Genomic DNA, 22,918 nt, shown 5'->3' with positions numbered 1-22,918 from the left:
AGAAGACATATAGATGGAGGTGCTTGTATTTGGGCTGCCCAGGAGCCCTTAAGTCATTCAGTTCCCTGGATGGATTTAAAGGCGGTGTCACTGTGTCATCAGAACTCTTCACTGTGACTAGTAACTAAAACCCAGTTCTAACTACATTGAATAGACTCACACACAAACAAACACACAAGGAATAGATTGAGTCGATTAAGTAAAAAAGTTCAAGGGAGTGGCTCCAGGGGTTTAAACCATGTCTTTCTCTATCTCTTGGGCTCTACTTTTCACTGCAATGGCTTCACTGATAGGCTCACACCCCCACATGATGGTAAGTCTGCAACTCCTTCTATCCAAGCATCCACATCTATCCCCCCCTCAAAGAGTATGATGAGCCTCACATGAATTTCATGCCTTCCTTTAGATGAATCAATGTGTGCATGGAGAAGAGATTTTCTGATTGGCCACTTAGGACACATTCTTTGATTGTTAGCTTTTGCATAAGAGTAGGGGTAATTCCAGAAAAGAATTAACAATGGATGATCCTTTCATGCTGACTGTGTTTGTCAGTAGTTAACTCTCTGGTGCCTAAACTTTCAAAGATGATGCTGGGAAACTTTAATGAAAGCTTGGATTGGTGACCCGGGTGCTGGGAGGCTCAGTTATCTGTTCTTATATGCCACTTTGGAGACACTGAGGCATTGACAGTTGTATGAGCATCGGTTGATACCTTTTCTCAAACTCCATGTGTGACTCTTTGCAAAGGTGTCAGCTAATCTTGAGCCAGAGCAATAAGATAAACCCTATGCTTTGCAACTTGTCTCATACCTTTAAGAGACATTATCAGGATTCAGACTGAATTTTGCTGTTTCTCCAGGGCTCCTGCAAGAAGTGCAAATCTCACCTTTGCAGGTAAAGTTCAAGTGCAAAGTGGTTTCATGTTCACTGCTGCTGCTGCTGACAGTGCTTTATGTTGCTCCCCTACAGGGCATCTACAGCTGCATTCATGGAGTGCACATTGAAGAAAAGAAGAAGTCTCCAGACTTCAATCTGACGGGATCCCAGAGCAACATGTTAAAACTCCTCCGGTCAGCCAAAAACATTTCCAGCATGTCCAACATGAACTCCTCAAGAATGGACTCACCCAAAAGAGCTGCTGACTTCATCCAAAGAGGTTCCCTCATCATGGACATGGTTTCAGATAAGGGGAATTTGATGTACTCAGACAACAGGTCCTTTCAGGGGAAAGAGAGCATTTTTGGAGACAACATGAACGAACTCCAAACATTTGTGGCCAACCGGCAGAAGGATAACCTCAATAACTATGTATTCCAGGGACAACATCCTCTTACTCTCAATGAGTCCAACCCTAACACGGTGGAGGTGGCCGTGAGCACAGAATCCAAAGCGAACTCTAGACCCCGGCAGCTGTGGAAGAAATCCGTGGATTCCATACGCCAGGATTCACTATCCCAGAATCCAGTCTCCCAGAGGGATGAGGCAACAGCAGAGAATAGGACCCACTCCCTAAAGAGCCCTAGGTATCTTCCAGAAGAGATGGCCCACTCTGACATTTCAGAAACGTCAAATCGGGCCACGTGCCACAGGGAACCTGACAACAGTAAGAACCACAAAACCAAGGACAACTTTAAAAGGTCAGTGGCCTCCAAATACCCCAAGGACTGTAGTGAGGTCGAGCGCACCTACCTGAAAACCAAATCAAGCTCCCCTAGAGACAAGATCTACACTATAGATGGTGAGAAGGAGCCTGGTTTCCACTTAGATCCACCCCAGTTTGTTGAAAATGTGACCCTGCCCGAGAACGTGGACTTCCCGGACCCCTACCAGGATCCCAGTGAAAACTTCCGCAAGGGGGACTCCACGCTGCCAATGAACCGGAACCCCTTGCATAATGAAGAGGGGCTTTCCAACAACGACCAGTATAAACTCTACTCCAAGCACTTCACCTTGAAAGACAAGGGTTCCCCGCACAGTGAGACCAGCGAGCGATACCGGCAGAACTCCACGCACTGCAGAAGCTGCCTTTCCAACATGCCCACCTATTCAGGCCACTTCACCATGAGGTCCCCCTTCAAGTGCGATGCCTGCCTGCGGATGGGGAACCTCTATGACATCGATGAAGACCAGATGCTTCAGGAGACAGGTAACCCAGCCACCGGGGAGCAGGTCTACCAGCAGGACTGGGCACAGAACAATGCCCTTCAATTACAAAAGAACAAGCTAAGGATTAGCCGTCAGCATTCCTACGATAACATTGTCGACAAACCTAGGGAGCTAGACCTTAGCAGGCCCTCCCGGAGCATAAGCCTCAAGGACAGGGAACGGCTTCTGGAGGGAAATTTTTACGGCAGCCTGTTTAGTGTCCCCTCAAGCAAACTCTCGGGGAAAAAAAGCTCCCTTTTCCCCCAAGGTCTGGAGGACAGCAAGAGGAGCAAGTCTCTCTTGCCAGACCACACCTCCGATAACCCTTTCCTCCACTCCCACAGGGATGACCAACGCTTGGTTATTGGGAGATGCCCCTCGGACCCTTACAAACACTCGTTGCCATCCCAGGCGGTGAATGACAGCTATCTTCGGTCGTCCTTGAGGTCAACGGCATCGTACTGTTCCAGGGACAGTCGGGGCCACAATGATGTGTATATTTCGGAGCATGTTATGCCTTATGCTGCAAATAAGAATAATATGTACTCTACCCCCAGGGTTTTAAATTCCTGCAGCAATAGACGCGTGTACAAGAAAATGCCTAGTATCGAATCTGATGTTTAAAAATCTTCCATTAATGTTTTATCTATAGGGAAATATACGTAATGGCCAATGTTCTGGAGGGTAAATGTTGGATGTCCAATAGTGCCCTGCTAAGAGGAAGAAGATGTAGGGAGGTATTTTGTTGTTGTTGTTGTTGGCTCTTTTGCACACGGCTTCATGCCATAATCTTCCACTCAAGGAATCTTGTGAGGTGTGTGCTGAGCATGGCAGACACCAGATAGGTGAGTCCTTAACCAAAAATAACTAACTACATAAGGGCAAGTCTCCGGGACATGCCTACTGGGTATGTTGGCAATAATGATGCATTGGATGCCAATGGTGATGTTATGATTTCCTATATTCCAAATTCCATTAAGGTCAGCCCACCATGTAATTTTCTCATCAGAAATGCCTAATGGTTTCTCTAATACAGAATAAGCAATATGGTGTGCATGTAAACCTGACACAGACAAAATAAAAACAGTTAAGAATGCATCTGCACTGTAGTGCGATTGACATGTGCAAGAGATTAGGAAGTTTGGCTCGTAACAGTTTCAGCTTTCTTGTTATGCCTTCCATCACAGCCCAGGCTCACCCCAAGAACTCCAGGCTCCCCTAAAGAATAGCAAATCAGTGTGTTCGTGATGACTGTGCTACCTTCATTATAGTTCATTTCCAAGACACATCTGGAGCCAAAGGCCCGAGGGACCCTCAGGTGGGGAGAGCTACAGGAATCTCTTTGGATGTTGATGTGTGTTTCTCTCACCCTCGGCTTCGATGGTCTTGTTCAGAGCTGCATAAACTAACACATTTATGTCTCCGAGATCTAAGTGTGGATCTTCTGTCTGTGACACAGTGGCCATTGTAGTTTATCCCGAAGACGCCTATGTACGTAAGTTTGCATTTCCTCCCTTCTGGTGATGACTCAGGGTTGTATAGTATCTGTTACCCCTTCCCTCCCAGAGTAACCATAACTCGTTCCGTTTCCAAACAGCCATGGTGGTGTCCAATTAGCTGTGTATCGCTCTTCCCAGAGTTGTTAATGTGGTGACATGCACCAACAGCCGTATGTGTACTGTGATCTGTAAGAAGTACAATGCCATCTGTCTGCCGAAGGCTAGCATGGTTTTAGGTTTATCTTCCTTCACATCCAGAAATTCTGTTGGACACTCACTTCCACCCCAAACTCCTCAAATCAAAAGCCTTCAAAACACGAGGCACTCTTGGATCTACCCTGAGTATCCTCCAAACTGTGGATACAGTTTAGTGAGACAAGCAATTTCTCCCTTCTGAGTTATTCTCTCTGTTGGTGGCAAACCACTTCATAGCACCAACAGAGATGTAGGAAAAATTCCTCAAAGTATTTGTCATTTCTGAGTCGCCTGCATTATCCCATTCTTATTCTCCTCAAACCTGTGCATATATGACATGAAATGATATCCATTTTTTTTTTAAGTTAGAGACAGAGAGGGGAATACTTATGCATGGGGAGCCTGTTAGCACAGTGCCTGCCACAAAAACAAGTGCCCCCGACAAGATAGTTGCTATGTTATGACACTTTCTCAGATCAGGATTTTCTAGTTTAAAAATTAAATATCATAAAACCAGCAAATAATATTAACTAAACCTTTTATATAGTTCTACTCTGTTAATTAGTGTATTTCATGTACATGAATATTTTTGAAGTATTTGGGATAACTAGCCATCAGTGTTTGCAGAAGACCTCAGTCTGTTTTGGGCCATTACGGAAACACTAAGCTAATGTAGACTCGCCTGGCCATTTCCTGGTTTCCTCCTGCATTCTGCTTTACATTCTTGAAGAAAGGGATAAAGTGGCAGGTTGAAAAATTATCCCATTTCTTCTCCTCATGGTGTGCGTTCTGTTTTGTAAGTATTATTTTCTTGCATGTGGGCAAGTGTCAGGGATGATTCCCTTAAAGCTCAAGGATGCATGGAATAGCTCCATCTTTGGGAAAGTACACCTGACCTACAGTGTTCCTATAATGAAAAGTGGTTGCAATAAATTTCAGGGTCAATCATAGGGAGACAGAGGGAGGCAGTGGGTGAGAGGAGCTTCCTTTCATTTTTGAAAGGCAGAAGGGGCTGACTAGGTGCTGGGGATGCATGTGCTTGAAAATGACATTTTATTTCCCGGATGCTGTACCTCTGCTGCCCCAAGACCCAGCCATGGAGAAGCCTGGATCGAAGGGCCCAGAATAGTCACCCCAACATCTGATCCTAAATCTGAATCTCCATGACTGTGTAGCCTTTTAGCCCTTTCTACCTTCTGCCCTTCCAGTGCATTCCAGACCTTAATCCACCCCAGCAAGGATCGCCTCCATTTCCTCATGAGTCTGGGATGTTTTGACATGAATGAATTAAAAAGTCTTCCCAGAATACAGAAGAGTGATTTGTCGTCAAGCCAAAGAGGCTTTCTGTCTTCCTCTGGTGTCCTCTAAACCCAGGGGGCTGCCAAATGCCACAGAGACCTCCAGGGAGAGTGAGAGTTATACTTGGACTGACTTCATCGGTCAGAAAGCCTTCCCCTAACAGCAGCATTATTTCTGCTATTAACCCCATACATCTCTGGATAAAGAAACTGAAAACGTGGCCTTTGGAAGAATCAACAGTAATGTTGTGAAAAAAATATATATTCTTTTCACTGACCGAAGTGTTTTTTCAAATAAATAATCAGAAATGTTATGCTACACAAAGTTTATGGTATCCCTTCTCTACTAATTCAATGACTCTTCAATGTGATGATCCCAAGCAAAAAAAAAAAAAAAAAAAAAAAATCAACTACTGATCAGATGGTCAATTTCTAAGGAAAAGATGTAGAGTTATTCAAAGGTCATCTAAGTCAGTTCAGTCTTTGCAAAAAGAATATCAGGAATGTAACGTCCAGTGGTAAATGGAACCCACAGTATGAGAAGTAACAAGAATTAAATAGGAAGCCTGGAAGCCTGAGACTATAGATCTATCACAGAAGATTCCCGTAACATATCCCAGCTCTGAGTTCTTAGATTTGTTGATGTCAAGGAGCCCAAATTTCTGAACACAAATGCCTGAGTTTCAGCTGGCTTAAGTCAGAGCTGGCATCCATAATGATATTTTGTTAATTCTAATTGGTTTTCCCCACTTGAGAAGGACCCAACTAGTCCTCAGATAGGTACACTTGAATGCAAACGGTTGGGTCTCTGTCCATGGGTAATAGCACGCACATGCAACCAATTTAAAATACTCTGGGTAAGAGAGTCTTCTAGAGCATAAACTGTACTTGAGAAACCTTTGTGCTTCTGGAAAATGGGTTTCATCATCCTTACATCTGCAGGTTCTTAGGCCACTTATGGTTTCAATGCTCTGAGCTGGCAAGTCCCTATAGGTCTATCTTTCTGCCAGAGAGACTTGCAGGATTATAATCTCACAATCTCACCACTCATTACTGTTATGTCCTCTGCAAATCTCTCTGCGTTATTTTAGCCAGCACCATGACTGGGCATCCACGGATTACTCTTGATTTTCTCTTCCCTGATTCACAGGATGCCAGAGAGTCTGAGTATTTAGTTTTTCTGGTGAAAGCATTAAAATTCACACATTGCAGCAAAATCTGTCAAATCATTTCACGCTTATTTTCTGGGGAGAAAAATAGAAAATTACACCTTGTTTACAAATGAAATAGTTTCACTTAAATGGGACTCTAGCCAAGGCAGTTAATTAGTCAAAAGATCCACAGCTGTCATATAGTCACACATTGTTTATTCTATTTGCTATGTCGACCACTGATGTGTATTTAATATTCTGCATCCTTCACAGGAAATGACAAATGCCCTGAATTATTTGCAAATAGAATTGCTAATGAAAAAGAAAAAAAATGTTGATGTTAATTAAATGGTGATTAAAAATTTATCTCCTTTAAATCTAAAAAGTGCAGCTTTAATAATCAGTTGTCATATAAATAAGTACCTTGTACTGAAATCCCTTGCGGTTTAAGACCTAAATAAACACTAATTTGAGAACTCTAAATACCTTACAGAGGAGCTGGATATATTCGTTAACATTATGCACATTCCTGTACTGTTTCTTTGTGCATAGCTGTTGTGCATGAATCCTTGAAAAGGGGACATGCGTTGTTTCTGAAATGGAGCCTGTTTGTATTAACCATGGCTATAGTAGACATGATTGGACTCAAAGAAAAAGAAGTTTGAGTAGGTGGAAGCTAAATGTGTTGCTTGATATTTAATGAGTGAAGGGTTCTATGTAAAGGCAATTTTCCTTCCAAAAGTACTGTTTATTTTCACTGGAGACAAAATTAGACCTTTCCAGATACCCCATCTCTTTTTGGTGAACAGGGTTGAAAGTGCTGTGGGGTCTATACTTGAAAAGTTCTCCCAATATGCAGTTACTGTTTCCCATTCAATCCCTATACATTGTACTGTGTTCATATCTAATTGTATCAGATGAGGTCAGCTTGCCACTTGATATAGATCAGAGATGATCAAATGCACTTATCCTGTGAATACAACTGCTTGTGTACACATGTATATAATATACATGCTTGATTTCTACAATTCACACGTAAGTGTATTATCCAAATAAAATTGTACATATTGTAAAGTTTATGTTAAAAATTAAATGGTGATGATGGTATTAACACATGGAAAACCCATTCTGGTTATTTTTATGGGAGGATATTTCTGTAGAGAGGGCACTATATTTTTTTAATCTCAGTTGTAGGGAGGATGACAGAGCCTAAGTAGAATATGGGTGTTGGCGTTCTTGGCCCCTTCTTTAAAAAACAAAACTCTGGGATGAGGGGTATAGAATATATTCTGCTCGCATTTGCTTCTGAAGACAATGCCGATATGGACTTGTGTGTGATTTCCTTAAACACATCAAAGGGCATAGATTTCCTATTTAAATTCCTTATCCTCTTTCCTCACCTGCACTCTTTCTGTGCCCAGCAGTACTTTCAGTATAGTATTAGCTAGAAGTGCCTGCCCAGAAGGGTCTTAGAAAAATAGAGTTCGTAGAACCACACCAAAAGTTAGGAGAAGGGGAGGAGAGATGAGAAAAATGAAGTTTACAAATGGGCAGTTGCCTGTTTAAGATCATCAAGTTAGAGAGTATCAGAGCGAGGATTAGATCCAAGACATGGTTCAATTTCTGGCTCGATTCTCTGACCGGGCTGACTTATTTCTAGGTTTCTTTCAAGGGGAAACTCCTGAGTAGCTCTGGAATAAGAGCCAGAGATCCCCATAAGGCTGCCCTGGTTTTTGTTTTGTTTTGTTTTTTGTTTTTGCCACTTGCCCCAGAAAGACCTACCCATGCTTCTTTGAATTTGGTTTTCCTTTAAACTCCCTCACAATCCCTGTCTTAAAGTTCCTAGAAGAGAAAACTTTTCTCAGAGACCGTCTCCTTAGGAAAAATCAACAGGGATATTGTTTAAAACCTCAAACTGAAGATAAAAGGCTGGCAGTGACCATTGAAATAATTGAGGTCTATGTATCATGCATTGAGGAAGAACCAAGCACATTGACCAGCTAATAGGACTTCACTGAATGTCCACTTTATTTTGAAAGCCAGTTTGGGATTGTGGGGGAGGGGATGCAAAATAAATAGAAAATATAGTCTCTTCCCATAAGTAGCTTATGGTTTAGAAGTTCAGTTCTCTAATACAAAGGATAACCAAGGACCCATGCAATGCAAACAGAGACTAAACAGCAAAAATTAGAAATGACAACTAAAGTTGTAGCCAGGAAAAAAAAAATAATCTGATTCTATGAGCATACCTTTTTTAAAAAAAAAAAAAAAGTCCTTCCCTAAACCTTTAAGTAACTCCGGAGAATAGAGTTAGTGGTCCCGGAAATGCAGTTGATTTATTTTAATCTTCAAATAATGGACTTAGGAGACCCAGGAGCTGCTAACCAGGTGAACACACTCACACTCCTACATTTTTGCACAGGAAGGCTTTTGTCTGGTTCCAACCAGTTCTCCAGTCCTTGCCAAATCATGCCTCCTCCCAGCCTTGCATTATGACATGTGCCTCAAGAAAAGGTTGAAAAAATTCCCCAAAGGATTAGAAAATAGACCATGATGTAAAAAGACGAAGCATTTCCCTAAAGCTTTTTTGTTTGGTTTTGTTTTTGACATTTGAAGAACCCTTCTGATACACCAGGGTATGAATGTATCAGGGAAGCATAGAGGGAAAATTCTTTATCAAGTTCCAAGTGCCTACTGCTGTGGCTGACAGAAAGCATCAGGTTCCCTAGAGAGAAAACGGGGCAAAGAGATGGCAAAAGGAATAGAGGTGTATTTCAGGAAGGATGGCGAGGTGGAGAGGGAGCTTTTGTCACTCTGTCTATCCCATTCTGTGCATTCTTGGAATGTTACATTTTCTGCTTATCGCAAGTACTTGCCATGGATCTGCACCTGAATTTGAAAATATCAAAATATATCTAAATTGAGTGTAGGCGATATTCTAGGCATATCCTAGAATGTGATCCTCAAAACAACCTTAAGATATAAATATGATTGCTCCCATTTTACAGATAAGGAAACTGAGGCTCAGGTTTTTCTCAACCTCGTCAGCAACTAGAATTAGCTAGTAAATCCCTAACGTTAGACATATTTTCAAAGTGCCTGGTCTCCTCCAGGGAGGTCAGAATAGAAGTCAGAAAGAGAGGTGTGCTCTTTTGAGGTTCCTGGGCATATACCCTTGAGTATCAGCCTCTGTGACAGGGAAGTCTGTTAGGGTCTTACCCCTCATTGCCTGATCTGTGTGTATGGAGAACTTCTGGGGATCTCACCTCTGTTCATAGTTCCTTCTGAGACTTGAACACTGTTTGTGTCTCCCTTTCATATGCTTGCACTTAGCATTTAAAAAAATTTCTGGGGAGTTATTTTCTCTACTTAGCATGTGCCTAATCTTAAATATCTCTTTCCTAATGTCTCATCTTTTTATCAGTCAACATCAGGGCTAATTCCATTAAACATATATACATAGTACATGCTCTCATGTGTGTGGGTATGCACACACACACACACAGCCATGTGACCCTCCATTAAAGTCCTCCTAAATATTGTGACCCATGTTCAAAGAGGTGATATTATTTGCAAGTTGACTATTCCTCCTATTTCATGTCTATGTTTGGTTATCTTTGCCAGGCAGATGGAATGAGTTTCAGAGGTGGGACAGGGAATAGGAAATAGAGTTTCTGCATGAATGATGGAGAGCTTTGGTAGTCAGAATGATTGAGGACCAGCTATTAAAATGTTGTTGTTGTTTTCCTTCTTGGTCTGTTCCTTTTTTTTTTTCTTTTCCAAATTGTCTTAGAGATAATTCCCGGCTCACTTAGCATTAGGATAATGACGGTTATTCTGTCCCACTGAAGAGTGTTGAACTGGAACGCTTCCACCGGGCTTTATAGGTACCCAGAATGGCCTAATGTTTAACATATCCTGCAGGCATGCCCCTGAGCACACACTGCCTTTCCTGCATTCCCCCCTCTCCATGGTCTAAGCCACATTTCTTTCCTGGCATTTATATTTACTGAGAGGTGAGGGGTGCATTAGGCCCATTTGATGGATGAGGACACTAGCGGGGATTTGAAGGAATGTCTTTCTGGGAGTCTCCATGAATTCTCTGGAGAGTTAGCTAACTTAATGCAAGTTAAGTGCTAGTCTATGAGAAAAATTTCTCAGCTGTTTTCATCTTTCAAGCTGGCAGTAAAAAGCCTTTTAAGACAGAAAGATTATTATTTGTTATTTGGAGATCCTGTTGTTGGGTCTACAAGTGCGTGACCATGTTCTCCTTGGAATGTTGAGCTATGCAGAAATGGAGCACTCCAAAGAACGATTTGACCAATAGCATTTCTTCTCTGGGGGTTGTATTTCAAAGCATGCAACTCTCCAGGGAACCAGAACTAAATTGCTTAAAATGAAGTCATTCCTCAGATTAACTTCCTCAGATAAAGTGTCAGCGGTCTGCAGAAACGAAGAAGACAAAACTGAGATTATCACTCATAATTCTCTTACTTACTATGTCAGTGAAACAATGAGTTTGCATTTTTGCAATCCTAGAACATTCTTCATTAGCCCTGGGTCATGACCTCTTCCAGTTAATTCTCTTTCACACCTTTAGGAAAGATTTAAGATGAACCTTCAATAGGATATTAACATAACTCATAGCCAATACCACAGCTGCCTTTCAAATTAATGAGGTTAATTGTTCTCCAGCAAACATGAGTTTGTCTTTGGCATTTTAAATGCTTCCCATTGATCTGACATTTTGCTGTTTCAAGTTTTAAAGGGCTCAAATCAAAGACTATTGATAACTGAGCAAAGAGCGAAGATCCAGAAATACGAAAACATTGTCTTTTTTTTTCCATGAAAAACAATCATAGCCTTTTGAATTCAATCGAAGTTTCTACATTAGCCATCTAAGACTTATTTAATTATTTCTGTTCTCAGTCAAGCTAATTCAAGTGAATGAACAGTATTGACTTTTAAAATCTTTTTTAAATTTTTTTAAATCTTTAGTTTATTAAGTTTGTAGAAAAGCTCTGGGGCCATGACCACTTACGTAAATGTTTCAGTTTAAAAACAAAAGATTCAGGCCTCTAATTTGAGCCAAATCCAGGTGATCTTGTTTGAAATTTTTGATGAATTTGAAAAGATGAAAGTGGAACTTTTAACATTCATGTTCCCCAAATTTTTCACTGGGAAGGGATGCTAATTGCCTACTTAAGATATAAGTTCAAGAATAACATTTTCATAGAAAATTCAGAAAACTGCTTGACACAGCAGTGACATAGTTAGATGTGGCTCAGATGCCTTCCAAACCTGAGGGTCCCCAAAGATTTCTTTACCAGTTGTTTTTAACTATGAATCTTAATCTTGTTCATTCCCCTGCCAAAACAAATTTAAAAGCATAAACCTGCTGAATTAATTGGCAGAATTCACCATAGTTTATATCACCCCAGAATGTTTATGTGTATATGTTTATGTATAGTATATATATTTCAAGCTGAATGTTCAGAAAGAATAAGGTGAGTTTCTTGGTAGCTTGAATAAGAATTAGATCATAAAAATTATAAATAATGGCCTTCTCAAAGAGGATAAATGATTCATTTTTCACTCACGTATTAATAATATGACTTGTTGCATAATACACAAGCTGGTCATTGCCTGCAAGAAAGTTATTGAATTAAGCAGCTATCCAGGTTTATGTCTGAGTCCATTTTTAACCCAACAAGGCTAGGATTGAACTCCATATGCAGAGGGTTTCTATTCACAGCTACATTCAAACAGAATCCAAAACCCACATCAGAACTGACTTGATGTCTTGTATGGTGGAGCTGAAAGCAAGCTGTCTGCTCTAAGCAATGGTCTTCATTTGGGAATTAATGTTCACTGATCAACTGCAGCAGTTTATATCTGTCATGTTTTAATCCACTGCATGAGGAAGTGCTAATAAGTGTATTAAATATTTCCAAGCATAGCTACAAAATTATATGTTTGCTTAACACCTTTCTATGATAGAGGAAGTATATACTATGGTTGTCTTCTTGTAGTATGTCTTTTAATTTTGTTCAATGTGTTATCAACTGTTTTAAGGAATGGGGATTGAAATTCGTGTGCAAACTGATATGTATATAACTCCTGAGGCAACAGAAGTGCCCGGTCATATGGTGTAAAAATGTAAATACAGGAAAATTTCATTTTTCTAATAAAGATAATTTCTGCCAATTGATATGAAAATGAGAAATTGAGTTGTGGTCTTTGTTGTTGTCATTGTTGCTGCTGTTGTAAGCATCACTGTGTTAGTCTGTTTTGCATTGCTATAAAGGAACACCTGAGGCTGGATAATTTATAAAGAAAAGAGGTTCATTTATCTCATTGTTCTGCAGGCTGTACAAGCATGGTACCCGCATCTGCTTGGCTCCTGGTGAAGCCTCAGGAAGCTTTTAGTTATGACGGAAGGGAAGAGGAGCCGGTGTGTCACATGACAGGAGAGAGCAAGAAAGAAATGCGAGGCTCCTTTAAACAACCAGCTCTCTCCTGAACTAACAGACAACTCACTCATTACCATAGGGTGGACACCAAGCCATTCATGAGGGATCCGCCTCCATGACCCAAACATATCCCACTAGGCTCCAACTTCTGGTGATCACATTTCAGCATGAGATTTGAAGGGGACAAATACCCCAACCATATCAATTGCTAATGTTTCAGGCAGACTTAATGTTTGTACAAAGGGGAAATAACTTGAGTTCCCCACTTTGTGCAAGGGGAGAGGGTAGAGGGAGGCACAGAATTCAGGACAATTCTTGGCTTGGCTTCAGGATTTCAGCCAAAAGCTTAGCCACTGTCCCATACCTAGATCTCGTCTTCCCGTGCAGTTCCTGTACTTGTAGCCTTGACCCTGATAATGTTGACCTTTACCAAGAAGCACCCTTATGGCAAGAGGGAAAAGGGGATTCTTGCAATAGGGGGAGGGGAACTATTGCAATAGGGAGAAATCTCTGACAATAGGTCTGCAAGCATCTCAGGGTTAGGCAAAAGGGTTTTTCTTTTACAGGGAGAAGTAAATAAAGCTAGAAAGAACAAGGTATAGGAAAGCGAGATGTACAGGAGTGGCAAGAACAGGAATCTTACCTATATGACTTAGGTAAGATTCACAGATGCTCCCCCCTTCTTTACCCATACCAAGGCCAGACACAGGCCCTCCAAATGCCTATTCTTTGCCTCATAAGTGATTAACTGAAATTTTGAACCCCACTGATCAGTTGGAAGAAAATGCTTGTTAACCAAACGTTGAGTAAGGTTCCCTCCTTCTCCAGGTCCTTGAACTCTGGCCAAACCTCAGCCCGAGCCAGCCTAAAACCTCTCCCTAACAGCTCCTTCTGGGAATAGCGAGTCTTAAATTCCCCATCTATCCACCTTCTGACCAATTGTGCCTCTCCTGTTCATCTCACTTTCCTATAACCTGTTCTTTCTAGCTTTGTTTACTCCTCCCTGTAGAAGAAAAACCCTTTTGTCTAACCCTGAGATGCTTGCAAATCTATTGTCAGAGCATTCTCCCGATTGCAATAGGCCCTCTCCCTCTATTGGAAGAATCCCTTTCTCCCTCCCTCTGCAATAATCCTTTTGAATAAAGTCTCTCTTTACTAAACCCAGATTTGAGTTTGGTTTGACAACCCCTGTCTTCAGATCAAGTGACATTTCTACAACCCAAATCTGACCATGTTAGTTCCACCTCTCCTTGACTTAAAACCTTCAGCTTGGTCCCCCATGACCCACAGGGAAAGCCCAATTCCTTGCCATAGTGCACAAAGCCATTCCAACCCCTGCCATACCCTTTCTACCACGTATCTTATGCTGTATCCGAATCAAAGATATTTTTGCCCTTCCCCAAGGACACCATGAGCTCTCATACTCCATGCTTTTGCTGATGCTGTTCTTTCTTCCTGGAATGCTGGTCTCCTTATCAATGCTTAATTCTTTTTTATGGTCTATTTTAAAGATAAACCTCTTCTTAGTCTTTCCAGGCTTCCTCCAGAAGCATGATTGACAGTTGACTTCTCCACGATCCATAGCCCCATGTACACACCTCTGTTATATAATGCATCGAGCTTTACTGCATTTTTAGGTGTGCTACTTTTCCTTAGAATGCGAGCTTTTCCAAAACAGGGGCCATAAAATTGTTCACCTTTAAATCCTAGCACCCAGCACATCATGTGATACTAAGCATTTTTTGGATAAGTAGAAGGATAGCTAGATGAGAGAGTGGATGGCTGGTGGGTGGTGGATAGATGGAGTGCTTTGGAATCAGTTCTTAGCTTATGGTACTCTTCTACCTAGCTTATTTTACTCAGTCCTGTGACTTTAAATGCCACTGATTACCCCCACATTTTTATATTCGGATTCAACTTTCTCCATAAGCTCTATACTCCCATCCATATTTCCACTGAGAGATCTTAAAGACACCCAAGACCTAAGATATCTTGGAAAGTACTGTGGACATCCCATCCTCCCAACACAAATCTGGTCCTCTGCCATTGTTCCTCATCTCGGGAAACTGCATGGCTATTGACCTGATATCTCAGGCCAAACGGCTGTTAGTGATTCTTCCCTCCTCTATTCCCCTTCATATCCAATCACAGGTCTTCAAGACATACATTTATTTATTTATTTATTTATTTATTTATTTATTTATTTATTTATTGAGATGAAATCTCACTCTGTCACCCAGGCTGGAGTGCAATGGCCCAATCTTGGCTCACTGCAACCTCCACATCCCAGGTTCAAGCAATTCGCCTGTCTCAGTCTCCCGAGTAGCCGGGATTACAGGCATGCACCACCACGCCTGGCTAATTTTTTGTATTTTTAGTAGAGACGGGGTTTCACCATGTTCAGGCTGGTCTCAAACTCCTGATCCCAAGTGGTCCACCCACCTTGGCCTCCCAAAGTGCTGGGATTACAGGCATGAGGCACCGCGTCTGGCCTTCATGACCTTTAAAATACATTCAAGACCCATCTATTTCTCATTACTCCTTCCCCATCACTCCAATCCATCATCTCTGATTTATACTACTGCAACAGCTTTCTAACCCATCTGCCTGCCTCTCCCCTGGCTTCCTTCTTATCCATTCTCCAGACAGAAGACAGGGCAGTCTTTTAAAACATCAATTAGATGATATTATTCATCTACTCTCAGGCCTTTAGTATCTTTCCATCACAATCAGAATAAAATCCAAATTCTTCCCTATGACCTCAGGGTGCCAATTGGTCTGCCTCATCTTCCATGTCGTCTACTATCATTCTGCACCACACTCGTTAAGATCCAGCCACACCGACCTTCTCTCATTTCAAACAGAGGCAATTTGGGGTCTTGGTACTTGCAACTGCCTCTCCCTGTAACTCTACCCCTAGGTATTTCTGTGCTTTCCTCCTTTATTATACCTAAAGATCTGTTTAAATGTCATCTCAGGAAGGCACTGTCTGACCACACTTTTTTTTTTTGTTTCATACTGGGTCTCACTCTATCACCCAGGCTGGAGTGCGGCAGCACGATCAGAGCTCACTGCAGCCTCGAACCCCCAGGCTCAAGCAATCCTCCCACCTCAGCCTCCTGAGTAGCTGGGACTACAGGCATGCATCACCACACCTTTTTTTTTTTTTTTTTTCTGTTAAGTTTTACTAGAGATGAGGCCTCATTATGTTGCCCAGGCTGGCCTCGAACTCCTGAGCTCAAGTGATCCCCCCGTCTCCCAAAGTGCTGAGATTACAGGTATGAGTCATTGTGCCCAATCTGGCCACACTATCTTAAATAGAATCTCCCCCATCACTCTCTATTCCCATACCATACTTTGTCCTTATAGCACTTAACACTATCTGTAATTTTATCATATATTTATGTGTATTTGTTCATTGTACGTCTTCTTCACTGAATAAGAATAGTGACTTGATGTATCTCATTCACTGTTCAAACACCAGCAGTGTCTGATACATGGTGGGTATCCAGTAAATGTTGCATGAACAAATGGATGAATGGATCAATACGTAATAGTTGATGGATGAAAAATTGATTGGATGAATGAGTGGACAGAGAGAGGGAAAGGATAACTACATGACTGGATATGTGGCTAAATACATGAAAGTATGAATGCATGAAGGTTGGGTGAATAGAATGTCGTTGATTAGGATAAGTAGCTCCTAGCCTCCAAGCTCATCCCACCTTGCTCCTGGGCACTTCCCATGTGGCAAGTTACACTTTTTCCTTCAGAATTAGGGCCCTGCATCATGGTAACTAAAAGTATATTCTCAATGATGGGTTAAAAATATCCTTCACGTCTCCTCAGTTTTTCCCCTAATCTCTTTAATCTTCCCAAGGATATCCAAAGGGCAGTTTAGGAAGGATGCCTTGTATACCAACCCATATGAACCCAGGACACATACAAAAGGGTTCATGGGGACCCCGCTGAAATAGTAACAGAGTCCAGAAAGTCACATACGAGACCGCAATACCTGGCTCTGGCAGCCAAAACTCTCTCTGTTTTCTGAGAGGCAGTGGAACTAGGGGGAAAACCAAGTCTCTCATTCTCTCAAAATCCACACACGCACTGTGTACTTACTCTGTACAAAGCCCCATTCTTTGGGAGATTACAGTCTAGGGGTCACTTCTGAACCTTTAAGACGATGGTGGCTTCGCATAGAGACTCTTCTTCTTGGGGCCTGGGCTGGATCGCAGCCTCCTTGCAGTTAGGTAAGGCTAGGGATGCTCCTCTTCAGGAGCCCCCCAGTGGCCGCCAAGTCCCACAGCCTTCTGGGAAGAAATGGCGGCTGCTCTAGTTTGAAGAAGTCGCTGCCTTCCTTCTGCCTCAACAAGGCAGACCCTCTTCCCCGAGGCTGTGGAAGATCCAAGCCCTTGCAGTAGACCCTTCTCTAAGTCTGAGCTAACCTGATGGAGTGGAGAAGACCCTTGAGAGAGTTTCTAGTGGGGCGCTGCCCCTGTGTTCATGGTAAGGGCAGGAATGGGATAGATTGTCAGTCGCACTGTGTGGCAAATAGCTTTCACCCATGGAAAGATTTGATCTAGGGAAGTTTTTCTGGGGCAGAGTTGTAACTTCCAGAAATGCTGATTTGTTGGAAGATCATGAAGATAGAGCTCGGTGAGTAATAATCAAGTGGGAGTCCCTAAGAATCAGGGTTTGTGGTCCTTAAAGACAGTAAGGTAGATGGTGCCTCAAGCATAGGTCTCAAAATCTTTCTAGGTTTAGGAGCCTCAGACTTTCACAGAAATGGATGGTTTTATAAGGGTTATGAAATAATGAGAAGACACATGGTATCCAGGAGCCCCCTTTCTTGTTTTTCTACCTGGCCCAGACTGTAATGAATTCTGCCCCCTCTCATCCCCTCTCGTTATAGATGGGGAAACTGAAGCTGGGAGAAAGGGTATATGTCATTCAAGCTTGCTCAGATCTTAGCAATCAAGCCTTCAGGATTGAATCTGGCACCAGGTGCTGAGATGGGTAAAGAAAATCAACATTTCTTGAATACTTACTATGTACCAGTCTGAGCCAGGTTCACAAACATCATAACATTAAATCCTTCCAACCAAACAAAAGCTCAGATTCAAGAGTCTTTCCTGATTCAACACACTTCAAACTACAACCTGTGTGTCTACCACAGGGCCAGCAGATCAATTATATCATGAAGCAAATGTCATCATGCACAAGAAAACACTTCTTTGATCCCAAAATAAGTAATCTATAAGGTATGAGGATCATAAGAACACAATGGCAACTAACATTTGTGTGCTGTTCTATGTTGCTATAGAAAAGAGCCCTGTGAGGCAGGTTATATTGCAATTTTTATTTACTTCCATGTAACGGATAAGGAAATTGAGACTCAGAGATAAAAGTGACCCAGCCCAGATCACTGAATTGATATGCGGCAGAGAAAGGAGGCCTCAAACCCAGATGGTCTGACTCCATGCCCCGAAACACCCCCTAACCTTTTTTTTTTTTTTTTTCTTTGAAATGGAGTCTAGCTCTGTCACCCAGAGCTAGTAGTTGGGACTATAGGCATGCACCACCACACCCAGCTAATTTTTGCATTTTTAGTAGAGACGGGGGTTTCTCCATGTTGGCCAGGCTGGTCTCAAACTCCTGACCTCAGGTGATCCACCTGCCTCAGCCTCCCAAAGTGCTAGGATTACAGGCATGAGCCACCGTGCCCAGCCCTTGAACTCTTTACAGCACAGTACCTCCTTCAAGGACATGGACAAAGGCTTTTCTTTTTTCTTGTGTCATTCCCTGTCTTCTGAGTTTCTCCTTAACCTCAGCTTTTTCTTTGGAGCAGCTGAAGATGGGCCATTTTCAACACGTTTTTCTATTAACTGAAGTGGCACTAAATACTATCGCTACTATGAAACTAATCAGCAATTTGTGGGACGCCTTAACACCCATGTAGCCCCATTTGGGGCCATACTTATTTCCTAATTGGGAAGTGATTTATACTTGGGACTTGGGACATGTGCTTCTGTCAGTGATGTGGCTATGTAGGATGGCTTGATTCTTTTTTTGTCCCCCAAGATTCTGCTGTCTAAAGCCAAATGGCCATAGAGTTGAGCAAATTTAATTAACAGACAGTTCTGGTCCTGTGAGATGGAAAAGCTTTCACTTCCCATCAAATTTGCAGTAATTCCAAGGATAAAGCCAAAAAAAGTTTTATCTTGCAAGATCCTGTAGTCTTCTGCTGGTAATAGAGTTTTTGGGGTCATTTATCTTTTTTTCTTAGAGTTCTGACAAAATTTGTCAAAGTTCATTAAACTAACCCGCCTTTAAAAAGAACCCTTAAAAATATCCTTGGAGCTCTCCTTTGCAGCAAGGATTATAACCCCCATTTTATTTTATTTTATTTTTACTCAAATAAAAATATTTATTTTATTTTTTGAGTAACTAAAATATTTTTTGAGTAACTAAAATATTTATTTTATTTTTTGAGTAACTAAGATATTTATTTTATTTTTTGAGTAACTAAGATATTTATTTTATTTTTTGAGTAACTATTTTTTGAGTAAAGAAAATATTTATTTTATTTTTTGAGTAAAGAAAATATTTATTTTATTTTTTGAGTAAAGAAAATATTTTATTTTTTGAGTAAAGAAAATATTTATTTTATTTTTTGAGTAAAGAAAATATTTATTTTATTTTTTCAGTAAAAATAAAACCAGGTTTTTCTGTTGTCCAGGCTAGAGTGCAGTGGCACAATCATATAGCTCACTGAAGCCTCGAACCCCTGGGCTTAAGCACTACTCCTGCCTCAGCCTCCTGATCAGCTGAGACCACAGGCATGTGCCACCCCACTCGACTAATTTCTTATTTTTTGTAGAGATGGGGTCTCGCTGTGTTGCCAGGCTGATCTTGAACTCCTCGGCTCAAGTGATCCTCCTGCTTCAGCCTCCCAAAGTGCTGGGATTACAGGCATGAGCCACCCTGCCTGGCCATTTTACATATGAGGAAACCAAGGCTTGGAGAGTTGCAATGATATCCGTAAGGCAATAGAATCAGGTGGGCGTTGTGAAGCTGGGATTGGGAGGTGAGCACATGTCAGTTGGACTCTACATCCCATCATCTTGTACCTTTCCTGTCATGTTCACTGTTACCTAGATTGCAAGAGAGTGCAGGCAGAAACTGCACCCGGTCCCTAATCCCTTGTACACAGTAAGGACTCAATAAATATTTTAAAATAAACACGCAGCAGAAAGAAGAGTCAGGAATCCTGGGGGGTTCTCCACATCCTAAGCTGTGTGACTTTAGTCCAGTCACTCTACTTCTCTGATTCTTCTCACACATATCTGTAAAATGAGGATATTTACCCCACTTCTGACTGCTTCATGAGGTTGTACAGAGGTATTATTAACTATATACTACAAAGGATAATTCCTTTTGTAATTTTTTTTAGTTCCAAAACGTAGCAGTTGTGTTCAGGTTATGTCCACAGAAACAACAACTTCCAGGCAACTTCCAGTGCCTGGAAATCCTGGGAACATGTCTTTTCACAAAGGTGAGAATTTTCCATGAATTAGAGGCCATAGGTCAGGCCTTTCTCTCAAGTAGATGGAAAAGTGGCCACAGGCTCTAATTCTGTGCTTCCGTTGGTTCTGAAGGTTCCAGACAGGTATGTGCAAAACCTTCTTTACCAATCTCTTACACAGCAGTTAGAAAAGAGGCACATATTTTTTACTCCCGGAATCTCCAAGGTGCTGAAAGTTCTGAGGACATATGTGCAAAGCCTTCTGCACTCTGGCTTGGTAAAAACTTCTATACAGTGTACAGGCTGGCAGAAGCCAAGAACAGACAGTGCTGTGACTTTCTATTTGAAATTCTTTACTTTCCCTTGAAGAAGTGTCCAACTCTCTTCCATTCTCCACCTCCCACTGACACACTACAGTGTCTCAGAACTTTTCTTTCTTTCTCTTGCCTTTCTCTCACTGTCTCTCTTCTTGCCTGAGGAAAAAACAGCAGCCTTGCTCTTCTTAACTCAGCAGTACTGCAGGCAGGCCTGCCTTCTAAAGAGTAGCCTCCTCCTCTTCCATTTCTTCCAAAGTCAACAAGAAGTCCCAGCCACTACTTTAAAGGCTGGGATCCCAGGAGCTGGTGACATTGTGTGTACTCAGGGCTCCCGTTACTTATGATTGCTTGGAGCCTCTAATGCAAACAAGAGCCAAGGAAGAGGAAGGCGCAACAAGAGATAGAATGAAGAGACAGTCGGCTGGGCGCGGTGGCTCACACCTGTAATCCCAGCACTTTGGGAGGCTGAGGCAGGTGGATCACGTGGTCAGGAGTTCAAGACCAGCCTGGCCAAGATGGTGAAACCCTGTCTCTACTAAAAATACAAAAATTAGCCAGGCATGATGGCAGGGGGTGCCTGTAATCCCAGCTACTGGGGAAGCTGAGGCAGAGAATTGCTTGAACCTGGGAGGCGGAGGTTGCAGTGAGCTGAGATTGCACCAGTGCACTCCAGCCTCAGGAACAGAACAAGACACTGTCTCAAAAAAAAAAAAAAAAAAATGAAGAGACAGTCATCCCTCATTAGACAGCACCCAGGTCCCACTCTGTCTTTCCTATCACCAAGCACAATGAAAAACAAGCACACAGACTTCTCACTTGGAAAATTATAATGCTGTGGCTCAAGAAAGTGACTATCCATGCCCACCCCTGGCATGCTCAGAACAACAGAAAGAAATCAGGGTCCAATCTGGCTCACAGAACCACAGCATACTTTAATGACTTCGAGGCGCAGAAACATCATCGGGATAGGTAATGTGGTGGCATGAGCCTATTTCAGTGCAATCTGCATGCACAGGAGACTTTATAATCTTGGGTAGTCCAAATCCACTATTGTGGGTAAAACTGCAAAGCAAATTCTACATCTTTCCCAATTCTCTCCCATCATCTTAACAACCCACATTCCATCATAAGCTGCAGGGAAGAGTCATTTAGAGGAAGACGTGTGAGTGTTGATATTGCCATTAGCACCAGAAAGCACTCACCTAATTTAGGGTATTTTTGATGTTTGGCTACAAGGAATCAAGCTCAGAGTCATGAAACTCACATTTATTTGTCAAAGATAAGGTAAGCAATAAGAATATACAGATATGTAGTTTCAGCTGCCTCCTGGGTATCTTGAAGGCACCCCTAAACCCAACATATGCAACACCAAATGCATCCTCCCCCACCCCCTTCCACCCGCACTTATTGTTTTCTCTTCTAGAGTTTTCTTTCTCAGATTAGAGCATCATCATCCCCTAGTCTCCAGGACAAAATCCTGGCAGTCACTTTGACTCTTCTCTCTCCTTTCTTCCCCGAGTCTGGCTAATTTATCTGCCTGTATCCTCCCGTGTGCCTGCTGCTCTTCATTTCCACTACCTGATTTCCATCTCTCATCTTCTTCTACATGAATGATTGTGACAATCTAATAACAGGTCTCCCTGCCTTCAGTATTGACCCACCTTTAATTCTCTCTTCATATGCTTGATGGAGTGATTGTTCTAAAATAAAATTATGACCATGTCATCTGCAACTGAAAGCTATTTGACAGCTCCCCATTGCCTAAAGACCCAAATCTTGGGTATGTCTGACAAGGACTTTCCTTGTCTGTTCTTGCTGATACGAATTTTCTAACCTCATCTCCCATCACTACCTCACACACAGGTGCTGATGCAGCCACAACAAACCTTTTGTCATCCCCTGAATAAGTCCTTAAAAATGTTTTCTTTATGAATACTGTTTAGCCATTTGGCAAATACATAATTATCTCTTAAGGCCTGGCTCACGCATCACCTCTGTGAATCCTTTATTGGTTCCCCCAAAGAGAGCCAGTGGCACCCTCCTCTAAGCTCCCATAATGTTTTGGAAAAGCTCTCCAGTGCAGCAAGTTGTGTGCCCCTTTATATGTCTACTTGCCGCTCCTGTGAAGTTCCCCTTAAAGATAATGGTCTCTTTGAGTTACAGGCAAAGGATCGAGCTAAAGATAATTTAGAAGTCATCAAGACACAGATCATAATTAAAATCGTGGATGTGGGTAAGACCATGACAGATAGTATGTTGGATTCATGCCATGTCAATCTTCTGATTAGAGTAGGCCACAAGAGATATTTTCA

The 22,918-nt window shown here is 41.9% G+C and overlaps 1 protein-coding gene across 7 annotated transcripts in view; it reads left to right on the top strand.

Annotated features, from left to right (window-relative positions):
• The window catches only part of GRIN2A (glutamate ionotropic receptor NMDA type subunit 2A), a 429,505-nt gene extending 416,991 nt beyond the window's left edge, over positions 1-12,514 (top strand). For 4 of the 7 annotated variants that reach the window (NM_000833.5, NM_001134407.3, XM_047433993.1 and 1 more), the window contains one exon: positions 970-12,510. In NM_000833.5, the coding sequence (NP_000824.1) occupies positions 970-2,769 (1,800 nt within the window). In that variant the 3' untranslated portion in view covers positions 2,770-12,510. Of the gene's footprint in view, positions 1-969 lie in introns of all 7 variants that reach the window. The other 3 variants (NM_001134408.2, XM_047433994.1, XM_017023173.2) reach the window with 1 other exon arrangement.

Source organism: Homo sapiens, chromosome 16 (assembly GCF_000001405.40).
Source record: "Homo sapiens chromosome 16, GRCh38.p14 Primary Assembly".
Taxonomy (NCBI): domain Eukaryota; kingdom Metazoa; phylum Chordata; class Mammalia; order Primates; family Hominidae; genus Homo; species Homo sapiens.
Note: the sequence above shows the minus strand (reverse complement) of the source record. Positions and strands in the feature narration are given on the sequence as shown.